Raw genomic sequence first — 12,654 nt, 5'->3', positions numbered from 1 at the left:
AGCCTGACTAACATGGTGAAACGCCGCCTCTACTAAAAATACCAAAATTAGCCTGCCTTGGTGGCGCATGCCTGTAATCCCAGCTACTTGCGAGGCTGAGGCAGAAGAATTGCTTCAATCCGGGAGGCAGAGGTTGCACTGAGCCCAGATCACACACCATTGCACTCCAGCCTGGGCAACAAGAGTGAAACTCTCTCTCTCTCAAAAAAAAAAAAAAAAAAAAAAAAGTCTTAAAATTGAAAACGTTTTAAAAAATTTCCTAAAAATTTTGCTTGGTGATTCCCAGTTATGATCTACACTGTTCTTCTGTGTACCACAATATGCTTCTACAACTCTGAGGTAGGGATTATTGTTCCTATGTTATAGATGAGGAAACCAAGGCAGAGAGAGGTTAAATAACTGGCCTCTTCTTTTTTTATTTTTTTGAGACAGAGTCTCTCATTCTGTTGCCCAGGTTGGAGTGCGGTGGCGTGATCTTGGCTCACTGCAACCTCCCAGGTTCAAGCAATTCTCCTGCCTCAGCCTCCTGAGTAGCTGGGATTACAGGCATGTGCCACCATGCCTAGCTAAATTTTTTGTATTTTTAGTACAGACAGGGTTTCACCATGTTTGGCTGGTTTCGAACTCCTGACCTCAAGTGATCTGCTTGCCTCAGCCCCCCAAAATGCTGAGATTACAGGTATGAGCCACTGCACCTGAGTAACTGGCCTCTAAAGGTAAGGAGGGTAGTGTAACATTTAAGATCATGAACTCTAGAATCATACTTCCAGGGTGTGCTTCTTAGTGCCCCTATTTAGTAGCCCTGTGACCTTGGAGACATCGTTTAACCTTTCTAAGCCTCATTTTTTTCAACTATAGAGGGATATTACCTACTCCATAGGGCTGATGAGAGGATTCATGAGACAGTCGTACTAAAATACTGAATACAGTGCCTTGTGAACAGGAACTACACCTTAGTTTGTTTTGAGGATTAAAGTAGTTAATATATGTAAAGCACTTGCGACAGCATCTGACACACGTTAAACACCATACGTATTAGCTGTTATTATCAATTATTGGTAGGAAATAAAGAACCTTGAGCTGAAACTTGTATTTCAAATCTGTGACATCTATTGTTTCTTTATGAAGTCTATCTTTTTTCTTTCATTTTTCTTTAACATTGAGACTTTCTTTTAATAGTCTATGTGTTGAAGAAAAAGTTGCAATAAATACCAACCTGCTGCCCTCCTATTTTCTATAACTCCCCAAATCCCAAGATGCCCAAATCAAATATATGAAAGCTAAGCCTAACCTGACTCCTTTTAACTGCCTTCTGAGGAAACTGAACTAAGTGAAAAGGAGTTTTGCATGAAGCTCTACAGCTTTTCCTATATCTCTAAGAGATTGCTCTGAGAAAGAGAGATGATCAGTAGAATCACATTAATATTGACAGGTAGAAAAATAAAAGACATTCCACTATAGCCTTAGATTGAATAGTGTGTCTTCTTAATTCTTACCATGTTACTTATGACACTCTTCAGTTACCAACATTATTTTAATTTAAAACATATATAATCATTAAGAGAATATGTTATCTTTTTGGTGCTTTTTCCTCTGTACTCTTAAAGATGATTAAAGGAAATTCAAGTCAGTGAAAAACTATATTTGTTATATGCCTACCATAGGATAAACTTTCTGTTTGATAATGAAGATAAAAGGAAGATAAATACATGGGAAATAGCTATTTTGAAGACTAAATGACATATTGTCTGTGACAACCTAGTAAAGAAATATAAATTAAATTCAATAAACTGTCTTTTTGAGTATAGTGCTAACAAAGGGTGCTTCATTTGTTCCAGGGGCACATTCACATTTTGGCTTATAGTAATTTCATGAGAAACAAATAGGTTTAGCAGTATAGCTGTACAGCAAAGAAGTAGAAAACAGCCCGTTTTCGGGGTGGAATACGGAGTGCAGGCTCTGGATTCAGGCTGCTTTGGTTCAAATCCCGGCTCTGCCACTTACTGGGTGAATTGGGATAAATTATTTAATCTCTTTGGGCCTCAGTTTTCTTAACTCTAAAACTGGGATGATAGTACCTCTCAGGGTTATTATGAAAATTAAAGATGACACATATAGCTTTAATATAGTGCTGACTTTGCTCTGCAAATGTTAGTTTTTATTTATGTAACAGATACCTATTTTTCAGTCACATTATTGCTAATGTCTATGCATAGCATAGGCACTGGAGGCCAAAATGCCACCAAACAGTCTGTGTTTTACAACTGATAATACCAGTAACTAACATTCACTGAATCTCTTTTAGTGCGAAGCACTGTGATAAGTACTTTATGTACTTTTAAGTCATTTAATCTTAAGAACCCAACAAAGTAGGTATTACTATTGGCTTCAGTTTGCATTTGAGGAAATGGAGACCCAGAGAGATTGTTCCATTAGGAATTCAGGAGGTCAGAATTTGAATTCTATCTGGCTCCTGAGCCCAAGTCCTTGATCATGATAAATGTTATCAACCTTCTGGGCCCTCAAAATATTCCTATTTTATGATATATGTGTAGCAGAGCTTACTATCTGCTTTGGGCACTACATGGAAAGACTTAGTTTTTTGTCACATCCACTGTAGGTAAAGATGTAAAAGGAAACTGCTTTAAATGTGTGTTGTATATTTTATATTTATTTCATTAAAAGTAAAGAGTCTGACTGAAGATATTAGGTTGGTGCAAAAGTAATTGTGGTTTCTGCCATTACTTTCTTACTTTTTTTTTTTTTTTTTGAGGTAGAGTCTTGCTTTGTAACCCAGGCTGGAGTACAGTGGTGTGATCTTGGCCCACTGCAACTTCTGCCTCCCAGGTTCAAGCAATTCTCCTTCCTCAGCCTCCGGAGTAGCTGGGATACAGGCGCATGCCACTGCACCCAGCTAATTTTTGTAGTTTTAGTAGAGATGGGGTTTCACCATGTTAGCTAGGTTGGTCTCAAACTCCTGACCTCAAGTGATCTGTCTGCCTTGGCCTCCAAAAGTGCTGAGAGGACAGGCATGAGCCACCATGCCTGGCCTGTTTTTATAATTTTTATTTTTATTTTAATTCTAGGGTACATGTGCAGGATATGCAAATTCGTTACATAGATAAATGTGTGTGATGGTGATTTGCTGTAACTATCAACCCATCACCTAGGTATTAAGCCCAGCAAGCATCAGCTATTTTTCCTAATGCTCTCCCTCCTCCCACCCACCCCCAACAGGCCCCAGTGTGTGTTGTTCCCTTCCCTGTGTCCGTGTGTTCTCATTGTTCAGCTCCCACTTATAAGTGAGAACATGCAGTGTTTGGTTTTCTGTTCCCGTGTTAGTTTGCTGAGGATAATGGCTTTTAGCTTCATCCATGTCCCTGCAAAGGACATGAACTCGTTCCTTTTTATGGCTGCATAGTATTCCATGGAGAATATGTATCATATTTTCTTTATTCAGTCAGTCATTGATGGGTATTTAGGTTGATTCCATGTCTTTGCTATTGTGACATGTGTTTGCTGTAGTGCTGCAATGAACATATGTGTTCATGTATCTTTGTAATATAAATATTTATATTCCTTCGGGTCTATACCAAGTAATGGAATTTGAGTCAAATGGTATTTCTGGTTCTAGATCGTTGAGGAATCACCACATTGTCTTCCACAATGGGTGAACTAATTTATAGTCCTACTAACAGTGTAAAAGTGTTCCTATTTCTCTGCAATCTCTCCAGCATCTGTTTTTTCTTGACTTTTTAATAATTGGCATTCTGACTGGTGTGAGTTGGTGTCTCATTGCGATTTTGATTTGCATTTCTCTAATGATCAGTGATGTCAAGCTCTTTTTTTTCTAAATATGTTTGTTGGCCACATGAATGTCTTCTTTTGAGAAGTATCTGTTCATGTCCTTTGCCCACTTTTTAATGGAGTCATTTGTTTTTTCTTGTCAATTTGTCTAAGTTCCTCGTAGATTCTGGATATTAGACCTTTATCAGATGGATAGATTGCAATAATTTTTTCCCATTCTGTAGGTTGTCTGTTCACTGTTATGATAGTTTCTTTTGCTGTACAGAAGTTCTTTAGTTTAATTAGATCCCACTTGTCAATTTTTGCTTTTGTTGGAATTGCTTTTGGTGATTTCATCATGCAATCTTTTCCTGTGCCTATGTCCTGAATGGTATTGCCTAGATTTTCTTCTAGGGTTTTTATAGTTTTGGGTTTTACATTTAAGTCTTTAAATCGATCTTGAGTTAATTTTTGTATAAGGAGTAAGGAAGGGGCCCAGTTTCAATTTTCTGTGTATGGCTAGCCAGTTCTCCCAGCACAATTTATTAAATAGGGAAGCTTTCACCATTGCTCGTTTTTGTCAGGTTTGTTGAAGATCAGATGATTGCAGATGTGTGGTCTTATTTCTGAGTTCTCTATTTTGTTCCATTGGTCTATGTGTCTGTTTTTGTACCAGTACCTTGCTGTTTTGGTTACTGTAGCCTTGTAGCATAGTTTGAAGTCTAGTGGCGTGATGATGCCTCCAGCTTTGTTCTTTTTGCTTAGGATTGTCTTGGCTATATGAGCTCTTTTTTTTGGTTCCATATGAATTTTAAAATAGTTTCTTTATTAATTTATAATTGACGGTACCTCAAGCTTATTCATGAGTTATTTTAAATTGTGCTAGTCAGTGAAGCCCAATGTTCTTGGAGAGGATATTAATTTACTGTGGATCTGAGATATTTAAAGCATTATTTAGATCTTATAAGGAGATAAAATTTTTATTTGAGATCATCTAATTATTATTAATTTTTTTAAAGCAAGGAATTGATATGGGAGATAAATGGACTTTTCATAATTTCATTGATGAAGGAAGAAAATCTAGCCTGTTGTGGAAATATCTATTGGCTGGAGGCATAGTTGGTACATATCCTCAGACATGCACAATGCCATTAGACCATCTGAAAATCCTGCTGCAGGTATGTTGCATAGTTCATGTGTATGATTTTGAGTGATATGTATTGGGGGAACCAGCCCCCAGTATTTCAACATAGGTTCTTTTCTATTTTCCCTAAGTGTCAGCCAGTCTGAGAAATAAAGAGAAAGAGTACAAAGAGAGAAATTTTACAGCTGGGCCTCTGGGGATGACATCACATATCAGCAGTTTCTGTGATGCCCACCTGAGACACAAAACCAGCAAGTATTTTTCTAATTTATTTTTATTTTTTAATTTTTTAATTTTTTAATTTTAATTTTTATTTTTTAATTTTATTATTATTATACTTTAAGTTTTAGGGTACATGTGCACAATGTGCAGGTTAGTTACATATGTATACATGTGCCAAGCTGGTGTGTGCTGCACCCATTAACCTGTCATTTAGCATTAAGTATATCTCCTAATGCTATCCCTCCCCTCTCCCCCAACCCCACAACAGTCCCGAGTGTGATGTTCCCCTTCCTGTGTCCATGTGTTCTCATTGTTCAATTCTCACCTGTGAGTGAGAATATGCGGTGTTTGGTTTTTTGTCCTTGTGATAGTTTACTGAGAATGATGATTTCCAATTTCATCCATGTCCCTACAAAGGACATGAACTCATCATTTTTTATGGCTGCATAGTATTCCATGGTGTATATGTGCCACATTTTCTTAATCCAGTCTATCATTGTTGGACATTTGGGTTGGTTCCAGGTCTTTGCTATTGTGAATAGTGCCGCAATAAACATACATGTGCATGTGTCTTTATAGCAGCATGATTTATAGTCCTTTGGGTATATACCCACTAATGGGATGGCTGGGTCAAATGATATTTCTAGTTCTAGATCCCTGAGGAATCGCCACACTGACTTCCACAATGGTTGAACTAGTTTACAGTCCCACCAACAGTGTAAAAGTGTTCCTATTTCTCCACATCCTCTCCAGCACCTGTTGTTTCCTGACTTTTTAATGATTGCCATTCCAACTGGTGTGAGATGGTATCTCATTGTGGTTTTGATTTGCATTTCTCTGATGGCCAGTGATGGTGAGCATTTTTTCATGTGTTTTTTGGCTGCATAAATGTCTTCTTTTGAGAAGTGTCTGTTCATGTCCTTTGCCCACTTTTTGATGGGGTTGTTTGTTTTTTTCTTGTAAATTTGTTGGTGTTCATTGTAGATTCTGGATATTAGCCCTTTGTCAGATGAGTAGGTTGCGAAAATTTTCTCCCATTTTGGAGGTTGCCTGTTCACTCTGATGGTAGTTTCTTTTGCTGTGCAGAAGCTCTTTAGTTTAATTAGATCCCATTTGTCAATTTTGGCTTTTGTTGCCATTGCTTTTGGTGTTTTAGACATGAAGTCCTTGCCCATGCCTATGTCCTGAATGGTATTGCCTAGGTTTTCTTCTAGGGTTTTTATGGTTTTAGGTCTAATGTTTAAGTCTTTAATCCATCTTGAATTAATTTTTGTATAAGGCGTAAGGAAGGGATCCAGTTTCAGCTTTCTACATATGGCTAGCCAGTTTTCCCAGCACCATTTATTAAATAGGGAATCCTTTCCCCATTGCTTGTTTTTCTCAGGTTTGTCAAAGATCAGATAGTTGTAGATATGCGGTGTTATTTCTGAGGGCTCTGTTCTGTTCCATTGATCTATATCTCTGTTTTGGTACCAGTACCATGCTGTTTTGGTTACTGTAGCCTTATAGTATAGTTTGAAGTCAGGTAGTGTGATGCCTCCAGCTTTGTTCTTTTGGCTTAGGATTGACTTGGCGATGCAGGCTCTTTTTTGTTTCCATATGAACTTTAAAGCAGTTTTTTCCAATTCAGTGAAGAAAGTCATTGGTAGCTTGATGGGGATGGCATTGAATCTACAAATTACCTTGGGCAATATGGCCATTTTCACCATATTGATTCTTCCTACCCATGAGCATGGAATGTTCTTCCATTTGTTTGTATCCTCTTTTATTTCATTAAGCAGTGGTTTGCAGTTCTCCTTGAAGAGGTCCTTCACATCCCTTGTAAGTTGGATTCCTAGGTATTTTACTCTCTTTGAAGCAATTGTGAATGGGAGTTCACTCATGATTTGGCTCTCTGTTTGTCTGTTATTGGTGTATAAGAATGCTTGTGATTTTTGTACATTGATTTTGTATCCTGAGACTTTGCTGAAGTTGCCTATCAGCTTAAGGAGATTTTGGGCTGAGACAATGGGGTTTTCTAGATATACAATCATGTCATCTGCAAACAGGGACAATTTCACTTCCTCTTTTCCTAATTGAATACCCTTTGTTTCCTTCTCCTGCCTAATTGCCCTGGCCAGCACTTCCAACACTATGTTGAATAGGAGTGGTGAGAGAGGGCATCCCTGTTTTGTGCCAGTTCTCAAAGGGAATGCTTCCAGTTTTTGCCCATTGAGTATGATATTGGCTGTGGGTTTGTCATAGATAGCTCCTATTATTTTGAGAGACGTCCCATCAATACCTAATTTATTGAGTGTTTTTAGCATGAAGCGTTGTTGAATTTTGTCAAAGGACTTTTCTGCATCTATTGATATAATCATGTGGTTTTTGTCTTTGGTTCTGTTTATATGCTGGATTACATTTATTGATTTGCATATATTGAACCAGCCTTGCATCCCAGGGATGAAGCCCACTTGATCATGGTGGATAAGCTTTTTGATGTGCTGCTGGATTCGGTTTGCCAGTATTTTATTGAGGATTTTTGCATCAATGTTCATCAAGGACATTGGTCTAAAATTCTCTTTTTTGGTTGTGTCTCTGCCCGGCTTTGGTATCAGGATGATGCTGGCCTCATAAAATGAGTTAGGGAGGATTCCCTCTTTTTCTATTGATTGGAATCGTTTCAGAAGGAACGGTACCAGTTCCTCCTTGTACCTCTGGTAGAATTCGGCTGTGAATCCGTCTGGTCCTGGACTCTTTTTGGTTGGTAAGCTATTGATTATTGCCACAATTTCAGAGCCTGTTATTGGTCTATTCAGAGATTCAACTACTTCCTGGTTTAGTCTTGGGAGGGTGTATGTGTCGAGGAATTTATCCATTTCTTCTAGATTTTTCTAGTTTATTTGCATAGAGGTGTTTGTAGTATTCTCTGATGGTAGTTTGTATTTCTGTGGGATCGGTGGTGATATCCCCTTTATCATTTTTTATTGAATCTATTTGATTCTTCCTTCTTTTCTTCTTTATTAGTCTTGCTAGCGGTCTATCAATTTTGTTGATCCTTTCAAAAAACCAGCTCCTGGATTCATTAATTTTTTGAAGGGTTTTTTGTGTCTCTATTTCCTTCAGTTCTGCTCTGATTTTAGTTATTTCTTGCTTTCTGCTAGCTTTTGAATGTGTTTGCTCTTGCTTTTCTAGTTCTTTTAATTGTGATGTTAGGGCGTCAATTTTGGATCTTTCCTGCTTTCTCTTGTGGGCATTTAGTGCTATAAATTTCCCTCTACACACTGCTTTGAATGTGTCCCGGAGATTCTGGTATGTTGTGTCTTTGTTCTCATTGGTTTCAAAGAACATCTTTATTTCTGCCTTCATTTCGTTATGTACCCAGTAGTCATTCAGGAGCAGGTTGTTCAGTTTCCATGTAGTTGAGCGGTTTTGAGTGAGATTCTTAATCCTGAGTTCTAGTTTGATTGCACTGTGGTCTGAGAGACAGTTTGCTATAATTTCTGTTCTTTTACATTTGCTGAGAAGAGCTTTACTTCCAACTATGTGGTCAATTTTGGAATAGGTGTGGTGTGGTGCTGAAAAAAATGTATATTCTGTTGATTTGGGGTGGAGAGTTCTGTAGATTTCTATTAGGTCTGCTTGGTGCAGAGCTGAGTTCAATTCCTGGGTATCCTTGTTAACTTTCTGTCTCTTTGATCTGTCTAATGTTGACAGTGTGGTGTTAAAGTCTCCCATTATTATTGTGTGGGAGTCTAAGTCTCTTTGTAGGTCACTCAGGACTTGCTTTATGAATCTGGGTGCTCCTGTATTGGGTGCATATATATTTAGGATAGTTAGCTCTTCTTGTTGAATTGATCCCTTTACCATTATGTAATGGCCTTCTTTGTCTCTTTTGATCTTTGTTGGTTTAAAGTCTGTTTTATCAGAGACTAGGATTGCAATCCCTGCCTTTTTTTGTTTTCCATTTGCTTGGTAGATCTTCCTCCATCCTTTTATTTTGAGCCTATGTGTGTCTCTGCATGTGAGATGGGTTTCCTGAATACAGCACACTGATGGGTCTTGACTCTTTATCCAATTTGCCAGTCTGTTTCTTTTAACTGGAGCATTTAGTCCATTTACATTTAAAGTTAATATTATTATGTGCGAATTTGATCCTGTCATTATGATGTTAGCTGGTTATTTTGCTCGTTTGTTGATGCAGTTTCTTCCTAGCCTTGATGGTCTTTACAATTTGGCATGATTTTGCAGTGGCTGGTACTCGTTGTTCCTTTCCATGTTTAGTGCTTCCTTCAGGAGCTCTTTTAGGGCAGGCCTGGTGGTGATAAAATCTCTCAGCATTTGCTTCTCTGTAAAGTATTTTATTTCTCCTTCACTTATGAAGCTGTTTGGCTGGATATGAAATTCTGGGTTGAAAATTCTTTTCTTTAAGAATGTTGACCTCTCCCTCTCCCTCTCCCTCTCCCTCTCCCTCTCCCTCTCCCTCTCCCTCTCCGTCTCCCCATGGTCTCCCTCTCATGCGGAGCCAAAGCTGGACTGTACTGCTGCCATCTCGGCTCACTGCAACCTCCCTGCCTGATTCTCCTGCCTCAGTCTGCCGAATGCCTGCGATTGCAGGCACGCGCCGCCACGCCTGATTGGTTTTGGTGGAGACGGGGTTTCGCTGTGTTGGCCGGGCCGGTCTCCAGCCCCTAACCACGAGTGATCCGCCAACCTCGGCCTCCCGAGGTGCCGGGATTGCAGATGGAGTCTCGTTCACTCAGTGCTCAATGGTGCCCAGGCTGGAGTGCAGTGGCGTGATCTCGGCTCACTACAACCTACACCTCCCAGCCGCCTGCCTTGGCCTCCCAAAGTGCCGAGATTGCAGCCTCTGCCTGGCCGCCACCCCGTCTGGGAAGTGAGGAGCGTCTCTGCCTGGCCGCCCATCGTTTGGGATGTGAGGAGCCCCTCTGCCTGGCTGCCCAGTCTGGAAAGTGAGGAGCGTCTCCGCCCGGCCGCCATCCCATCTAGGAAGTGAGGAGCGCCTCTTCCCAGCCGCCATCACATCTAGGAAGTGAGGAGCATCTCTGCCCGGCCGCCCATCGTCTGAGATGTGGGGAGCGCCTCTGCCCCGCCGCCCCATCTGGGATGTGAGGAGCGCCTCTGCCCGGCCGAGACCCCGTCTGGGAGGTGAGGAGCGTCTCTGCCCGGCCGCCCCGTCTGAGAAGTGAGGAGACCCTCTGCCTGGCAACCACCCCGTCTGAGAAGTGAGGAGCCCCTCCGCCCGGCAGCTGCCCCGTCTGAGAAGTGAGGAGCCTCTCTGCCTAGCAGCCACCCCATCTGGGAAGTGAGGAGCGTCTCCGCCCGGCAGCCACCCCATCCGGGAGGGAGGTGGGGGGGGTCAGCCCCCGCCCGGCCAGCCGCCCCATCCGGGAGGGAGGTGGGGGGTCAGCCCCCCTGCCCGGCCAGCCGTGCCGTCCGGGAGGGAGGTGAGGGGGTCAGCCCCCCGCCTGGCCAGCCGTGCCGTCCGGGAGGGAGGTGGGGGCGTCAGCCCCCCGCCCGGCCAGCCGCCCGGTCCGGGAGGTGAGGGGCGCCTCTGCCCGGCCGCCCCTACTGGGAAGTGAGGAGCCCCTCAGCCCGGCCAGCCACCCCGTCCGGGAGGGAGATGGGGGGGTCAGCCCCCCAACCTGGCCAGCCGCCCCGTCCGGGAGGGAGGTGGGGGGTCAGCCCCCCGCCTGGCCAGCCGCCCTGTCCGGGAGGGAGGTGGGGGGGTCAGCCCTCCCCCTGGCCAGCCGCCCCGTCTGGGAGGTGAGGGGCGCCTCTGCCCGGCCGCCCCTACTGGGAAGTGAGGAGCCCCTCTGCCCGGCCAGCCGCCCCATCTGGGAGGGAGGTGGGGGGGTCAGCCCTCCGCCCGGCCAGCCGCCCCGTCTGGGAGGTGAGGGGCACCTCTGCTCGGCCGCCCCTACTGGGAAGTGAGGAGCCCCTCTGCCCGGCCAGCCGCCCCGTCCGGGAGGGAGGTGGGGGGGTCGGCCCCCCGCCCGGCCAGCCGCCCCATCCGGGAGGGAGGTGGGGGGGTCGGCCCCCCGCCCGGCCAGCCGCCCCGTCCGGGAGGGAGGTGGGGGGGTCAGCCCCCCGCCCAGCCAGCCGCCCCGTCCGGGAGGGAGGTGGGGGGGGTCAGCCCCCCTGCCCGGCCAGCCACCCCGTCCGGGAGGTGAGGGGCGCCTCTGCCCGGCTGCCCCTACTGGGAAGTGAGGAGCCCCTCTGCCCGGCCAGCCGCCCCATCCGGGAGGGAGGTGGGGGGTTCAGCCCCCCGCCCGGCCAGCCGCCCCGTCCGGGAGGGAGGTGGGGGGGGTCAGCCCCCCTGCCCGGCCAGCCGCCCCGTCCGGGAGGTGAGGGGCGCCTCTGCCCGGCCACCCCTACTGGGAAGTGAGGAGCCCCTCTGCCCGGCCACCACCCCGTCTGGGAGGTGTGCCCAATAGCTCATTGAGAACGGGCCAGGATGACAATGGCGGCTTTGTGGAATAGAAAGGCGGGAAAGGTGGGGAAAAGATTGAGAGATCAGATGGTTGCCGTGTCTGTGTGGAAGGAAGTAGACATGGGAGACTTTTCATTTTGTTCTGCACTAAGAAAAATTCCTCTGCCTTGGGATCCTGTTGATCTGTGACCTTACCCCCAACCCTGTGCTCTCTGAAACGTGCTGTGTCCACTCAGAGTTAAATGGATTAAGGGCGGTGCAAGATGTGCTTTGTTAAACAGATGCTTGAAGGCAGCATGCTCGTTAAGAGTCATCACCAATCCCTAATCTCAAGTAACCAGGGACACAAACACTGCGGAAGGCCGCAGGGTCCTCTGCCTAGGAAAACCAGAGACCTTTGTTCACTTGTTTATCTGCTGACCTTCCCTCCACTATTGTCCCATGACCCTGCCAAATCCCCCTCTGTGAGAAACACCCAAGAATTATCAATAAAAAAAAAAAAATAAATAAATAAATAAATAAAAAAAAAAAAAAAAAAAAAGAATGTTGAATATTGGCCCCCACTCTCTTTCAGCTTGTAGAGTTTCTGCCGAGAGATCAGCTGTTAGTCTGATGGGCTTCCCTTTGTGGGTAACCCGACCTTTCTCTCTGGCTTCCCTTAACATTTTTTCCTTCATTTCAACTTAGGTGAATCTGACAATTATGTCTTGGAGTTGCTCTTCTCGAGGAGTATCTTTGTGGTGTTCTCTGTATTTCCTGAATCTGAACGTTGGCCTGCCTTGCTAGATTGGGGAAGTTCTCCTGGATAATATCCTGCAGAGTGTTTTCCAACTTGGTTCCATTCTCCCCGTCACTTTTAGGTACACCAATCAGACGTAGATTTGGTCTTTTCACATAGTCCTGTATTTCTTGGAGGCTTTGTTCATTTTTTTTAATTCTTTTTTCTCTAAACTTCCCTTCTCACTTCATTTCATTCATTTCATCTTTCATCACTGATACCCTTTCTTCCAGTTGATCGCATCAGCTCCTGAGGCTTCTGCATTCTTCATGTAATTCTCGAGCCTTGGCT

The 12,654-nt window shown here is 44.0% G+C and overlaps 1 annotated feature.

Moving 5' to 3' along the window:
• Nucleotides 11,362-12,151: an enhancer, noted in NCBI's record as "NANOG-H3K27ac hESC enhancer chr1:109030913-109031702 (GRCh37/hg19 assembly coordinates)". NCBI's record gives its function as "activates a minimal SCP1, AML or CMV promoter by ChIP-STARR-seq in primed H9 embryonic stem cells {active_cell/tissue: H9 hESC(primed)}" and the evidence as "EXISTENCE:reporter gene assay evidence [ECO:0000049][PMID:30033119]".

This window comes from Homo sapiens, chromosome 1 (assembly GCF_000001405.40).
Source record: "Homo sapiens chromosome 1, GRCh38.p14 Primary Assembly".
Classification (NCBI taxonomy): domain Eukaryota; kingdom Metazoa; phylum Chordata; class Mammalia; order Primates; family Hominidae; genus Homo; species Homo sapiens.
The sequence above is the reverse complement of the archived record's forward strand: the minus strand, read 5'-3'. Positions and strand labels throughout refer to the sequence as shown.